This window comes from Homo sapiens, chromosome 19 (genome assembly GCF_000001405.40).
Source record: "Homo sapiens chromosome 19, GRCh38.p14 Primary Assembly".
Classification (NCBI taxonomy): Eukaryota; Metazoa; Chordata; class Mammalia; order Primates; family Hominidae; genus Homo; species Homo sapiens.
In genome coordinates this window covers 23,810,398-23,826,908 of record NC_000019.10, presented here as the reverse complement: position 1 = coordinate 23,826,908, position 16,511 = coordinate 23,810,398, and the positions used below count along the sequence as shown (strand labels likewise).

The 16,511-nt window shown below is 40.7% G+C and overlaps 1 protein-coding gene and 1 long non-coding RNA gene across 15 annotated transcripts in view; one reads left to right on the top strand and one right to left on the bottom strand.

The window, feature by feature from the left end:
- Window positions 1-16,511, bottom strand: part of RPSA2 (ribosomal protein SA 2) — a 112,693-nt gene that overhangs the window by 44,280 nt on the left and 51,902 nt on the right. Inside the window, exon 4 of one of the 14 annotated variants that reach the window (NR_170708.1) lies at window positions 574-694. The exons of the other annotated variants lie outside the window; for them this stretch is intronic. The gene's annotated coding sequence lies outside the window, so the exon portion shown is untranslated. The remainder of the gene's footprint in view (window positions 1-573; window positions 695-16,511) is intronic. 14 annotated transcript variants of the gene reach the window in all.
- On the top strand, window positions 2,845-9,312 carry LOC124904677 (uncharacterized). Its single transcript, XR_007067209.1, has 2 exons — window positions 2,845-3,169; window positions 7,464-9,312. It is a non-coding gene; the product is annotated as an uncharacterized LOC124904677 (long non-coding RNA).

Here is a 16,511-nt window from a genome sequence, read left to right as displayed (position 1 = left end):
ATCAACCAGACCAACAATGGTGAACCCTGTCCTTACTGAAAAAAAAAATACAAAAATTAGCCAAACGTGTTGGCACGTGCCTGTAATCCCAGCTACTCGGGAGGCTGAGGCAAAAGAATTGCTTGAACCCAGGAGGCAGAGGTTGCAGTGAGCCAAGATCGCCCCACTGCACTCCAGCCTAGGTGACAGGGCAAGACTGTCTCAAAAAATATATATATATATTCTGGAATATACTCAGTATTCAAAAGCAGGAAATATTCTACCAACTATAAATATAAATCTTGATGGCATTATGCAAAATGAAATGAGCCAATCACAAAAAGACACAGATTTTATGACATACATGAAGTAGTTATACTGTTAAAAACAAAAAACAGAGTGGTGTTTGCAAAACGCTATAAAACAGAAAAAATTGTGGCCAGGCATGGTGGCCCATACCTGTAATCCCAGCACTTTGAAAGGCTGAGGCAGATAGATTACCTAAGGTCAGGAGTTTGAAACCACGCTGGCCAACATGGTGAAACTGCATCTTTACTAAAAATGCAAAAATTAGCCAGGCATGGTGATGGGCACCTGTAATTCCAGCTATTCAGGAGGCTGAGGCGTGAGAATTGCTTGAACCCGGGAGGTGGAAGTTGCAGTGAGGTGAATCATGCCACAGCACTCCAGCCTGAGTAGCAGAGTAAGACTCCAGCTCAAAAAAAAAAAGAAAAAAGAAAAAAAGAAAAAATTAAAAATTAGTACTTGTTGTTTAATATGTGTTAAGATTTAGCTTTGCAAGATAAAAACATTCTAGCAATATGTTGCATGACAATGTCAAGATAATTGATATGACTAAATATTTAAAAATATTTTGTGGTAAATTTTGTTTTTTTTTGACAAGAAATAAACAATAATAACTAAAAGAGATACAGAGTTATGATAGTTTTAAATTATATTCAAATCCAAAAGTGTTTCTCCCACACAGAAATCATATAGATTTACAAATAAATAGGTTGTTGAAATTATAAAAATTTTATGGGCTGAGCATGGTGGCTCACACCTGTAATCTCAGTACATTGGGAAGCTGAGGCGGGCAGATCACCTGAGGTTGGGAGTTCAAGACCAGCCTGACCAACATGGAGAAACCCTGTCTCTACTAAAAATACAAAAATATTAGCCAGGCATGTTGGCACATGCCTGTAATCTCAGCTACATAGGAGGCTGAGGCACTAGAATCATTTCAACCCAGGAGGCAGAAGTTGCAGTGAGCTGAGATCGCGCCATTACACTCCAGCCTGGGCAAGAAGAGCAAGAGTCCATCTCAAAAAAAAAGAGTATTTTATGATGACTCATCTACGCAGAATTAGAAAACCATTCACAACAAACCTACACAACAAATATACAAGTTAGAAAAAAAATACAAGGATAACATTTATTTTTGTATACAGGAAAACAAACACAGAGATAATTCTATTGGAAAAAGACGTATAGCTCATTCATATTTGACTTTCTTCCACACTGCCTTAAATTATAAGATGTTAAAAATTAGCATGCATAATTATAATAAATACTAAAAAATCAAAACACAATTAATGAATGTGTGGTGGCATACCCTAAAATATATAACACAAAAATCTATAATTGCAAAACAAAGTTAAAACATGGAATGTAAAACTTATTAGATACCTTGGGAGGCCAAGGCAGGCAGATCATGAGGTCAGGAGATCAAGCCCATCCTGGCTAACATGGTGAAACCCAGTCTCTACAAAAATATAAAAAAATAGCTGGGCGTGGTGGCGGGCACCTGTACTCCCAGCTACTCAGGATGCTGAGGCAAGAGAATGGCATGAACCCAGGAGACAGAGTTTGCCATGAGCTGAGATTGTGCCACTGCACTCCAGCCTGGGAAACAGAGCGAGACTCCATCTCAAAAAAAACAAAAACAAAAACAAAAACAAAACAAAACAAACAACTTATTAGATAACCATCAACTAGATTTAGGAAATCTTAGAAGAAGAAAATGAAGAAAAAAAATACAGAGGTTATTTGAAGATAAAAAAGGGTGAAAACTTCCCAAATTTTGATGTAATAAAAAAAAATTTCTAACCAATAATACTTGATTTAAATTTACTTCCCTTTAAAAAGAAGATGAAAATAAAGAATTTCCAAAATAAAAGGTGAAGATGTTCATCACCACTAGCACAGTTCTACAAAAAAAGGTACATGGTGACCAGGCACCATGGCTCATGCCTGTAATCTTAGTTTTAGGAGGTCAAGGCTGTCAGAACACTAGAGACTAAGAGTTTAAGAGCATTCTGAGACTCTGCAAAAAAAAAAAAAAAAAAAGAAATGCTATAATGAGTCAATTTTGCTTAAAAATAAAATAATAATGAACACCATCATAAAACTGAAGTAGAGGATGTAGAGAAAACTAGTCCTTAGCCCCTCTTCTCCCAAAGAGCAAGGATGTGAAAAACAAGTTTTCCTCCTCTCCCAGCTTCCCTGTCTCTTTAGTAATTTTTCCTTAGTGAAACTCAAGGTTACTTCACAACAACTCCAGTTTCTCTGTTCTGGGCAACATGACAAGGTCACAAGACGAGCTTGAGTAAGACGTATACCAGCTGCAAGGCCTGCTTTAGTTTGTTAACTTCCTGTTTTCCTCCCAATGCAGCTGCAAGGTCAGCTTTAGTTTGTTAACTTCCTGTTTTCCTCCCAATGCAGCTGCAAGGTCAGCATAACCTGTCACTGTTTAATTAACTGCCTTTGTTCTGCTTCTGTGAGCCTGCTTGCTTGCACCAGGAGCCTTGTGCCACTAGATGGCCACCATGCACATATAAAAGACAAGCCCTGTACTTGTCCAGGGCTCAGCTTTTTGTGTGTGAATCCACTGAGCCAGTGTGCACCTTAATAAAATCCTCTAGTTTCACCCACTGGCCTCTCCTGCCTCCTGTTTTCTGCAACACTTTGGTGAGCCAGCCAGGAGATGGAGATGACAGGTTTGCTGTCTACTTTGCCTTTAGGTGTGAGACCCCAAGCCAGGAGAGACCCATGACCTCAGGTGCCATCAGGAGAACTTAAACCTGAAGAAGGGATCAGCTATCCCACAACCCAGTGCCCCTCCCAGACAGCACAACAGAATCTAAGGGGCTACAGGATGATTCCAGGAACAGTGCACTACAGGACCACGGTAAGGTTTTGGGGCCCAAGGCAGGAACCGTCCCATAAGGATGGAAGGGGAGCCTGATCACCTTCCAAGGTGTAACTAGTAGACTGACACAGGATGCAAGAATGGTTTGCAAACTCAGGGAAACTTACACCCCAAGTGACTAGGGCATAAGAGTGGCTCGCGAAGTCAGTTAGGAGAGAAAACTGGGAGTAGGACGGTGTGTGACTGTGTGTGAAAGAGATGGTTTTGGGAGGAACCAATGCAGACAGTGACATGTGGGGGCTACAGCTCTCTTAGTATAGACTGTGCGCTCTGAGAGAATTGTGGGACCAACCGGGACTAGTGGCAATCCACATACGGCTTATGGAGGTGCCCCACAATTTAGTAATTGTGAGGGGATTAACAAACTCCAAAGCTAAGCAGTGTCTGAAAACTCCTGCAAGGGGGATGGTTTAATTGGTCTGAATCAAAAGGAAGAATGAATGTGTTGTGCTGTATTGGGGAGGAAATGGGAGGGAAGTCACCAAAACCCACCCGATTAGCATGTATGTTAAGGAACTTTAAGAAAGGTTATTCGGGGACTATGGAATTAAGTTGACCCCCAGAGGCTGAGAACTCTCTGTGAAATACAATGGCCCTCTTTTGATGTTAGATGGCCAGCTGAAGGAAATGTAGATAAGGAAACAATTGGCTATGTATTTAAGGTGGTAACTGGGGTCAGAGGACAGTCAGGGCACCTAGACCAGTTCCCTTGTATTGACTCATGGTTAAATATAGTACAGACTCCACCTGCATGGTTGCAGACTTGCCTGGCAGCTTTTTGCTCAAGCTGAGCCTAAGCCACCAAAAAAAAATCAGCTTTGCTGGAAGCTACAGAGACAAAGGGAAAGCCACAGGAAAGACAGGAGAAACCAGTTTTGGAGGAACCACCGGAGGAGATAGAAACCCCTCCTCCCTATGCACCAATCTACCCACCTTTACCAAGGCTGGCCACTGAGCAGCCCAACTCAGATGGTATCATGCCCCAGGCTACACCCTAAAGGGGCAAATCTGAGCCCCTGTCCCAGGAGGTGAAGAAGGAAGTCAAGATGATCAAGCAGGCCACCTTCAATTTACCCACACCAGAGCTTTGCAGATGCCCCTCCAGAAAACACAGGGACCTATTTATTATGATGAACAGGGCCAGGTCCAAGGGGGGCAACAGACTTTTATTTACCAGCCTTTTTCTACCACTAATCTCCTAAACTGGAAACATCATACCCCCTCCTACACGGAGAACCCCCAGGACCTCATAGATCTAATGCAGTCTATCTTCCTAATGCACAATCCAACCTGGCCAGATTGCAGGAATCTCCTCCTAACGCTGTTTAACACGAAGGAGTGTCAAAGGATAGCCCAGGCAGCTCTCTGCTGGCTAGAAGCCAGTGTGCCTGAAGGCACCCTTAATGTCCAGGCATATGCTCAGGGCCAATTCCCAGAAACAGATCCCAACTGGGACCCAAATGACGCAACCCAGCTTCAGCGCCTGCAAAGGTACTAAGAAGCACAGCTGCAATGATTGAGGGAAGGTGGAAAAAAGGCAATCAATATAAGGAAGGTCTCTGAAGTACTCCAGCGAATTGATGGGAGCCCTAGCCAGTTTTATGAGAGACTCTGTGAGGCATTTTAGTTTTACACTCCATTTGACCCTGAGGCTGCTGAAAATCAGTGCATGGTGAATGCAGCATTTGTAAGGCAAGCCCAGGGTGACATCAGAGAGAAGCTGCAAAAGCTAGAGGGTTTTGCAGGCATGAATGCCACCCAGCTTATAGAAGTGGCCACCGAGGTGTACATTAACTGTGACCAAGAGGCAAAAAAGGAAACAGAGCAGAGGCTTAGGAAAAAGGCCAACCTGTTAGCGGCAGCCCTCACAAAAAGGAAAATTAACATTGTAAAGGGACGCGAATGTTCACATGGGTGTGGGCATGGAAGAGGCCAAGTTGAACAGCGAGCCAAGAGATGGCTGAGGCTAAGGGGAGGTCAATGTGTGCAGTGCAAAAAGAAGGGACACTAGAAAAATGAATGTCCAGAGGACAATGAAGAGAATGGCAAAGGCTATGAAACAAAGAGGCCCCCAGCCAAGGGCTGCCACACCCTGAGGGAGCCAGATGCCGACCTGATCGGGCTGGCAGAGAATTAAGAATATGAGGACTAGGACCAACCGGGTTCCTTCTCCCTAGGCCCCCAGGAGCCCATGGTCACATTAGAAGTGGGGGAGGCAGGGAAGAAGTCCCTCCTCTGGGAGGCAGACCAGGAAAAGGCATTTAAACAAATCAAAGAAGCCTTAACTAGGGCTCCAGCCTTAGGACTGCCAGGTCTAACTAAGCCTTTCTTTCTATAGGCCCATGAGTGAAAGGGAATGGCTATAGGAGTCCTAACTCAGGTCACGGGATCATGGCATCGCCTGGTGGCATACTTATCCAGGCAGTTGGACTCCATGGCGCTGGGATGGCCCCCATGCTTCAAAGCATTAGCTGCCACAGCCCTACTGGCATGGGAAGCTGACAAACTAACTCTAGGACAGCAACTAACCACCTGAGTATCGCACTGAGTTATAACATTAATCGATCAGAGAGGGCACCATTGGTTATCAAATCCAATAATGAGTTGGTATCAAGGGCTTCTATGTAAAAATCCTCACGTAACTCTAGAGACTGTGAACACTCTAAACCCAGCTATTTTGCTCCCAATTCAATCAGAACCAGGAGGCCCTCTTCATTGCTGTATAGACACAGTTGATGAGGTATTCTCAAGCTGGAGAGATCTTACAGACCAACCCCTCAGGGACCCAGATATCGAGTACTTTACAGATAGAAGCAGTTTTGTACTGGAAGGAGTCCAATGGGCCGGGTATGCAGTAGTAACATTGCACTTGGTGGTGGAAGCTCAGTCTCTGCCCACAGAAACTTCAGCCCAAAAAGCAGAGCTGATAGCTCTAACAAGAGCCCTTTTGCTAGCAAAGGACAAAAAGATCAATATTTATACTGATTCCAAATATGCTTTTGCCACATTGCTATATATAAGGAGGAGTTTTAACTGCCAGGGGCAAAGAAATAAATACAAAGAAGAAATTATACAGCTCTTAGATGCTGTATGAGCCCCAGAGAAGGTAGCTGTTATGCACTATAAAGGACACCAGAAGTCAGGGACACAGGAGGCCAAGGGAAATGGAAAAGCAGACAGAGAAGCAAGACAGACAGCATTGACTGCTCCACACTCTAGAAAAGAAGCCCTGACCATGCCTCTCCTCCCGCAATCTCCCCTCCAGGAGACCCGGAGTTACTCTCTAAGTGACAGGGCCTGGTTTGCCCAAGAATCTGGAGAACATATTGAAGGAGGATGGTGGAAATTATCTAATGTGAGACTAGCCATCCCTGAAATGGTGGCCTCCAAATTTGTGAGGCAATTCCACCAAGGAACTCACATGGGAAAAACGGCACTAGAGACGCTATTAGGACACCACTTCTATGTGCCACGGCTCACTGCCATCACATGAGCCATTTGTGAACAATGCCTAACTTGTGCCCAGAACAACCTAATACAGGGGCCCACCAGGACCCTGGGAATGCAGGAAATAGGGGCCACACCTTGTGAAAATCTGCTTATGGGTTGCCCCAAGCAGGGGGATATTGAAACATGTTAGTACTTGTCTGCACCTTTTCAGGATGGGTCAAGGCTTTCCCCATCAGGACTGAGAAAGCACGAGAAGTAACTAAAGTACTGTTAAGAGACATTATCCCTGGATTTCGACTGCCCCTGACTCTAGCGTCAGACAATGGACCAGCATTCATAGCCAAGATAGTTCAAGAACTAACACAGTTATTGAAAATAAAGTGGAAGTTACACATAGCCTACTGGCCACAGAGCTCAGAAAAAGTGGAACACATGAACCAGACACTCAAACAGCTACTAAAAAAATTTTGCCAAGAAACTCATCTAAGGTGGGATCAGGTCCTGCCCATGGTCCTCCTCCAAGTGAGGTACACCCCCACCAAACAAACTGGGTATTCACCTATGAGATCTTGTTCGGCCAATTTAAAGGTGATCTCTGTGAACTAGAGGAATTAGCCTTAAGGAGAGAGATGCAGGCTTTAAGAATAGCCATGCAAAAAATTCATGGCTGGGTATGGGAAAGAATGCCCATAAGCCTCACAGACCCAATTTATCCCTTTAGACCCGGGGACTCTGTTTAGTTTAAAAAATGGAATCCAACAACACTGGGACCCATATGGGATGGGCCCCATATTGTAATCTTGTCTACTCACTGCTGCTAAAGTTGCAGGAATCGTGCCTTGGATTCACCACAGTTGGCTGAAACTGGTAGCCCAAGACAAGTGGACCAGCCAGAAGGACCCAGGCCATCCAACCCAGCTGATCCTATGATGGGACCGAGGTGCCAATGAAGACTACAACAGCCCTGCTCTGGTCACTTCAGAAGCTGACCAGTCTACACACGGTGGAAGCTTGAGGAAACAACAGCCCTGTTCTAGTCACCCCAGAAGCTGACTCGTCTATGTACGGCCAAAGCTCGAGGCATCATCAGGAAAGTAAAAGTGGTTAGAAATCTTACGTCTGGAAACTTTCCTTGTAATATTAATTGTTTTACTATTGTCCTGTTGCTTTGCTCAACCTCCTCCTCTAGGAAAGGACCTCTTCTCTCCATGCTAGGTATAAACATGTTATTCATTACTTTTGCTATTCCCTTTAACCACGTTAAAGGGAGAATCCTTAGAAGGATGCCCCCACTGCACTGACAATACGTAGACAGGAAGCACCATGACTAGAACCCTGTTCTACCACTTATTATAGGTATGCAGGGACCCATTGAGGAACTTGTACACACAACCAGATAACCTACTCAATCTGCAACCCAGGAAGTGGCCAGCCTTATATATGTTATGACCCAAAGTCCTTACCTAGAACCTAGTTGGAGGTTCATGTCAGGTCAAAAGAAATAAAAGGGGAATAACCATAAAGAATTAAAGATAATGAATGGCCACCTGAAAGAATAATGCAATACTATGGCCCAGCCACATGGGCAGATGGATCATGGAGATACCGCACCCCTATTTACATGCTAAATCACATCATATGGTTGCAGGCAGTACTGGAGATCATTACGAATGATACTGCAAGAGCCTTAAATTTGCTGGCTCGGAAATCTACAGAAATGAGAAATGCCGTTTATCAAAATAGACTGGCTTTAGACTACCTCCTAGCCCAAGAGGGAGGAGTATGTAGAAAGTTCAGCCTAACTAATTGCTGTCTAAAAATCGATGACAACGGAAAGGTCGTCAAACAAAAAGCTGCAAGAATCCAAAAATTAGCCCATATTCCAGTCAAGACTTAGAAAGGATGGTCTCCAGATTCCCTCTTCAGGGGTTAGTTCTCATCCCTTGCAGAATTTAAAACCTTAGTAAGAATAGTTCTAGCCATATTAGGAGTCTGCCTCATACTCCCTTGTCTCTTACCCCTCCTTGTCAAAAACATCTAAATGGCCACAGAGGCTCTTGTAACCAGGCAAACTACTACACAACTAATGACCCTAACTAAATATCAGCCTTTGCCAAATGAAGAAAACTTGCCTTTTCATGAAAAATTAAGTCATAGTGATGCTATTAAACGTCATTTATAAAAAGCGTCAAAGGGGGAAATGAAGTAGAGGATGTAAAGAAAACTAGTCCTTATCCCCTCTCCTCCCATAGAGCAATGATGGGAAAAACAATTTTTCCTCCTCTCCTAGCTTCCTCCTCCCCTTAGTAATCCTTCCTTAGTGAAACTCAAGGTTACTTCACAACAACTCCAGTTTCTCTGTTCTGGATAACATGACAAGGTTACAAGACGAGCTTGAGTAAGACATGTACCAGCTGCAAGGCCTGCTTTAGTTTGATAAATTCATGTTTCCCTTCCAGTGAAGCTGCAAGGTCAGCATAACCTGTCACTGTTTGATTAACTGCCTCTGTTCTGCTTCTGTGAGCCTGCTTACTTGCACCACGAGCTTTGCGCCACTAGATGGCCCATGCATGTATAAAAGACAAGCCCTGTCTTAGTCCAAGGCTCAGCTTTTTGGATGCGAATCCATTGTGCCAGGGTGCACCTTAATAAAATCCTCCAGTTTCACCTACTGGGTGTCTCCTGCCTCCTATTTTCTCTAACAAAACCACATATAAAATAAAAGTCTATATTAAATGTAAATATACAAATATAGAAGTCTTTACTATCATAATAATGATGCATAAAACCCTTAAAGCTCCTCTGTAAAATATTTAAAACAGAATACAATCTGCATAAATATGTTAATAAATACACAAAATAATTTATATTTATTTATTTTATTTTGAGATGGAGTATCGCACTTGTTGCCCAGGCTGGAGTGCAATGGCACAATCTTGGCTCACTGCAACCTCTCCCTCCCGGGTTCAGGCAATTCTCCTGCCTCAGCCTCCCGAGTAGCTGGGATTACAGGCATGCACCACCATGCCTGGCTAATTTTGTATTATTTAGTAGAGACAGGGTTTCTCCATGTTGGTCAGGCTGGTTTCAAACTCCTGACCTCAGGTTATCCGCCCACCTCGGCCTCCCAAAGTGTTGGGATTACAGGCGTGAGCCACTGCACCCAGTCTAAAAATTTTTAATGTTAATAACAAACTGAAAAACATAGAGGTATAATTTTATATTCAATTGAAGTTGTCATTAAAGTATATTGTTTGAATTTTAAGATATTTAATGTAAACTCCATTTTTTAAAATAATATGGTTTGGCTGTGTCCCAACCCAAGTCTCATCTTTAATTCCCACATGTTGTGGGAGGGATGTGGTGGAAGGTAATTGAATCATGGGGGCAGGTCTCTTCTGTACTAGTCTCATGATAGTGAATAAGTCTCATGAAATCTGATGGCTTTATAAGGCAGAGTTTTTCTGCACAAGCTCTCTGTCTGCCACCATGTGAGACATGCCTTTCACCTTCCACCATGATTGTGAGGTCTCTTCAATCACATGAAACTGTAAGTCCAATAAACTTCTTTCTTCTGTAATTTGCCCAGGGTAAGGTACGTTTTTATCAGCAGCATGAAAACACATGAATAGACAACATGATTATAAAGATAATAATTAAAGAAACTGTGCAAAACAAAATTAGAAAAATAATTGAAGCACATCACTACACAATTAAAATAAAATTTAAGGCAATAAAACAGTGAATAAGAAAAAACGTACCACTCAGGAACACATAAAACAGTTACAATAAAACCAGTAACTTCATTTTTAAGAAGCAGTTTTAAATATAAATTAAATTACTTAATAAAAAGAAATGTAATCTCAGGACTTTGGGAGGTTAAGGCGGGCTGATCACTGGATCTCAGAAGATTGAGAACAGCCTTGACAGTGTGGCAAAACTCTGTCTCAACCAAAAATACACAAAAAACTGGCTAGGCGTGATGCTACACACTTGTAACCCAGCTACCTAAGAGGCTGAAATGAGAGAATCTTCTGAGTTTGTAAGTTGAGGCTGCAGTGAGCCATGATCACAACACTGCAAACTAGCCTGGTTGACAGAGTGAGACCCTATCTCAAAAATAAATGAATAAACAAGTAAATAAATGAAATTATAAAAAGAAAAAATAAAATGCTTTACTAGCTTAAGAAAAAAGCAAACAGTATGTTGCCTACAAGGGAATCATTTCAGCACTAAGTCAAATAGGCTGAAAACCACAGAGCGAAAAAAAAAACAACTACATTTTATGAAAATAGTAACTACAATTGTGTATTAGATATGTTTTAAGTCAAGTGCTAACATGAGACAAACACTGATATTACATACTCATAAAATAGGTTGATTTACCACAAATCTATAATGATTATATCCATCTACCTATCTGTATGTATATGTATATATAACATAAGGTCTCCAAAATATATAAAGCAAATATTGACAAAAGTAAAGCAAGAAATACATAGAATATAATTGTAGACATCAATACCCCATTTTTAATAATAAATAGAAAATTCAGATTAAAAAATCAACAAGAAAACAAAGCCTAGACGACATTGCAGACCGTATTAATCATTTTGCATATAGAGGAATACCTGAGTGGATAATTTATAAAGAAATAAAGATTATATGGCTCACAATCCAGCAGACTGTACAAAAAGTGTGTGCCAGCATCTGCTTCTGGTGAGTGTCTCAGCAAGCTTACAATCATGGTTGAAGGCGAAGAGTAACTGTACATGTCACATAATAACAGACAGAGCAAGTATGAGGTGAAGGAGCCAGGTTCTTCTAATAAACCTGCTTACATTTGAATTAATGGAGTGTAAACATTTTGATTACCAGCTATTTATGAAGACTTTGCTCCCATGACCCAAACACCTCCCACCAGGTCTCACATCCAACATTAAGGATTACACTGCAGAATAAGGTTTGGAGAACATGAACATCAAAACCATGTTACAGACCAACTAGGTTTAACACATGAGTACAAAACTTTCCAGTCAAAAGCAAGAGAATATACAATATTCTTATTTGCATCTGGTGTATTCTGTTAGGACACATACTAAGTTTTATTAAATTTAAGAATGCCAGCTGGGTGGTGTAGCTCACGCCTATAATCCCAACACTTAGAGATCAAGGTAGGAGGATCACTTGGAGTTAAAAGTTTGAGGCCAGCCTGGGCAACATAGTGAGACTCTATCCCTACAAATAATCAAAGAATTATTCAGACATGGTACTTTATGTTTGTAGTCCCAACTACATGAGACACTGAGGAGGAAAGATCACTTGAACCTGGTAGGTTGAGGCTGCAGTGAGGCAAAATCATGGCAGTACACTCCAGCCTGGTTGACAGAGTAAGATCCTGTCTCCAAACAAAAACAACAAACACAACAACAACAACAAATATATTTAAGAAGACCAAAATTATACACTGTGTTTTCTGACCAAAACTGAATTAAGCTATAAATTAAAACTAAAAAAAATCCAAAAATATAAGAAAATAAAACACACTCTTCAACATATGTTTGCTCAGGAATCAAAAAATAATAGTTTTTCAAAGATGTCAATACAACTTACAGTGGTAGACAAATTCAATATAATCTTCATAAAAATCCCAACAGCAGTTTTTTAAAGAAATATTGTTTAAAATGTTAAAATTTTATTATGACCTCTAGCCAAACACCCATGAAAAAGAACAAAGGTGCATTATAATTTCTGATTTTGAAACATATTAAAAGCAGCAATAACAAACACAATGTGGTACTGACAAAAAGACAGATAAACAGATGAAAGAACAGAGAGCCCAGAAATAACCCTTCTGAATATGGCCAAATAATCTCCCACAAAATTGACATGAGCACACAATAGAAAAAAGATAATTTTAAAACTGAATATCCATACTGAATTATCCATACTGAATATCAATACTGATAAAATTAAGTTCGATTATTTCCTGAAACTATAAGTGAAAAATCTTTTAATTAGACATAGAAGATAACTTCTTTTTTTTTTTTTTATTTTGAAATGGAGTCTTGCTCTGTTGCCCAGGCTGGAATGCAGTGGCATGGTCTCAGCTTGCTGCAACCTCCGCCTTCCAGGTTCAACCAATTCTCCTGCCTCATCTTCCCAAGAAGCTGGGATTACAGGCGCCTGCCACAATGCCTGGCCAATTTTTATATTTTTAGTAGAGATGGGGTTTCATCATGTTGGACTGGCTGGCACGGTGGCTCACGCCTGTAATCCCAGCATGTTGGGAGGCCGAGGTGAGCAGATCACAAGGTCAGGAGTTCCAGACCAGATTGACTAACATGGTGAAACCCCATCTCTACTAAAAATACAAAAATTAGCCGGGTGTGGTGGCACGTGCCTGTAATCCCAGCTACTCAGGAGGCTGAGGCAGGAGAATCGCTTGAACCTGGGAGGCAGAGGTTGCAGTGAGCTGAGATCATGCCACTGCACTCCAGCCTGGGCAACAGAGTGAGACTCTGTCTCAAAAAAAAAAGAAACCCGTGTTGATTGTCAGTAGAAAACAAGCAGGCATCCATTATTTTATGTTATAAATGTACTTCTTATAATTAAAAATAAAATTATTATCAAATACAGCAATTCCATTTATTAATCTATATCTAAAATATGCAATATAGGACCTTCAAGACATATTTGATACAATGGAATATTATTCAGCCTTAAAAAAAATCTTAAAAATCTTGACACATTTAAAGATACACTTTGAAAATATTATGTCAACTGAAATCAGCCAGTAGTAAAATCATAGATATTATGATTTCACTTACGTAAGATATATAAAATAGTCACACTCATAAAAACAGAAAGTGGAAGGGTGTTTGTTAAGGGATGGAGAGAGCATAAAATGAGTAAATGTTATTTAATGGATATTGAGTCTTAGTTTTACAAGATATAAAATTTCTAGAAGTCTTTTGCATAACAATGTGAATATAGTTAACATACCTGAAATACACAACTTTTTTTTTTTTTTTTTGAGACAGGGTCTCAATCTGTCACCCAAGCTTGAGTGCGTGGCACAATTATGGCTCACTGCAGCCTCACAGTCCCAGGCTCAAGTAACCCTGCCCCTCATTCTCTCAAGTAGCTGAGACCACAGGTACACACAACCCTGCCTGGCTATTTCTTAGAAAAAAAATGTTTGTAGAGAGGGTGTCTCCACATTTTGCCCAGGCTGGTCTCAATCTTTTGGGCTCAAGCAATCCTTCTGTCCTGGCCTCTCAAAATCCTGGTTTTACAGATGTGAGCCACCACTATGCCTGGCTGTGACATGTATATTTAAATAGATTTAAGAAACTAAATTACATGTTACATGTTTTTACAGTTACTTTTTAAAAAACTGAAAAAAATACCAAATTATAAATCTTTTTAAAAATTACCTCCAAATCACAAAGTGTTTGTCTCACACAAAGGAAATACATATTCATCATTAAACACATGACGAAAATGAGACTATTTCCAAGGCTACTCACTTAGACAAGATAAAACCAACATTGAAAATGAGCTAAGAGGTCGGGCCCAGTGGCTAATGCCTGCAATCCCAGCACTTTGAGATGCTGAGGTGGGCAGATCACCTGAGGTCAGGAATCCGAGACCAGCCTAACCAACATGGAGAAACCCCGTCTCTAATAAAGAAAAATACAAAATTTGCCAGGCCTGGTGGCACATGCCTGTAATCCCAGCTACTTGGGAGGCTGAGGCAGGAGAATTGCTTGAACCCTGGAGGCAGAGGTTGCAGTGAGCCGAGATACTGCATTACACTCCAGCCTCAGCAACAAGAGCAAAACCCCGTCTCAAAAACATAAACAAAAAAAAAAAAAGAGAAAAAGAGAATGAGCTAAGAAAGAATATATACAAGATAAGCTACAACAAAAATTGGGGTCACATTTGCAGATATAAACACACACATATCTGATTGTGATAGACATATGGCCCATTTATCTTTTAATTAAACCCCACATTAACTTAAAGTATACAAACAGAATTGCCAATTATCTAAAATTATAATACATAAGTAAAACCAAAAACACAATAAACTGATATTAAGAAATTTATAGTAAAAAACCACAATATAGAACTACAAGACAATAATAAATGTTTACTCATAAAATCTAGTTGGCAACATCAATGTACATTAACAAATAATTTGTCTAGATAACTGCAATGTTTGACTGTAACTGTGCATTCCCGGAAGGCAGGCATTTTAAATTACTGATATCTATTGTATGGCAATAAAATTTCAGAGAAAAGGAAATACAATCATAAACAGGAGATGCTAATGAGAAACCTTTAATGGATAAGCTTTTAAAAGAAACTACTGACAATTTTTTGTTTTAAATGTTTGCTATTTTTGAACAAAATAAAACTAATCCAAATATAGAAGCAAATAATACCTTACATTGCTAAATTATACATATATTTAGCAGAATATGGTTAGAGCCTCATATATAAAACAAATATTTGGGAAATAAACTATGTTATTATTTAGATATAGGCTGACAAAAGTGGTTGAAAATTTTATAATTCCTTTTTGCCTGCCTGCATACTAATTACCTAATTTAATTCAGGCACAACACGTAAATTCTAGTATATTGCCCTAAATGTCTGAATCTAAAATTGCAGACAAATTTAAAGTAGAAAATAAAGTAAAAATTTATATGGAGAGTGACATTAACAAGATAAAAAAAAAAAAGGCATCCTATTTGCTTATCCCCTGACAGCAAGAAAATTTGTCAGTCATTCCTGATGAAAATGCCTTTTTAAGAGAATCACGCATCATGGTTTACACCAGTAATGACAGCTACATGATACATTAAAGAATTGCTTACAGTCAAAATACTAAAACTTGCCTGGGTTATGTAACAAGACCCCATCTCAAAAATAAGTGCCTTTGGCCAGGCACATTGGCTTACACCTGTAATCCCAACAATTTGGGAGTCTGAGGTGGGTGGATCACCTGAGGTCAAAAGTTCAAGACCAGCCTAGCCAACCTGGTGAAACCCAATCTCTACTAAAAACACAAAATTTAGCTGGGTGGTGGCGGGCACCTGTAATCCCAGCTACTCGGGAGGCTGAGGCAGGAGAATCACTTGAACCTGGGAGCCGGAGGTTGCAGTGAGTCAAGATCGTGCCACTGCATTCGCCACTGCACTCCAGTCTGTGTGACAGAGCAAGACTCCGTCTCAAAAAAAAAAAAAAAAAAGTGCCTTTAAGAGAGTTCTGAGATCCAGGAAGGGAGTTGTGAAACTCTGCTAAAGCCCAATATTGAAGATAATTCTGTTTAGAAGGCAGGCCCTCATTCAGGTGGCAAACTACAGGACTACTGTTGTTGGCTACAGACAAGAAAACGTTCCACCTAACTTGGTTCCAGTGAGAATTCTGAACTTACTCTGTAACCATCCCAAACTCTTCCCAGTCACAGTCTGGGGGAGGTCCTGCTCTTCCAGAGGCCTAGAGGAAGACACCCATTTATAGCTATGCTGAGAGGCCTGCAGACCTTGGCCTTTACTGTGGTCCCTGAGGCAGTTCCATGACTCATTTCCAGCTCCCTGAGCCACAGTTCATGGCCGGTTCTGCCTATGTAGAAACCCAAAGTGACCTGGGAAAATTCTCTCTTGTACTCAGTGAAAGCCACTCTCATCACATCCTGATATAAAGAACACCATATGCAGACCCGACTGCAGAAACCTGCCCCTGGGTCTGCAATACACAGCAAAGTCCTGAAAGATATTCACTCTGTCCAAAAATTAAATGAAAATGAAAACTACAACTATCCAAGCCCTTTTCCCTTTTTTTTTTTTTTTTTTTTTTT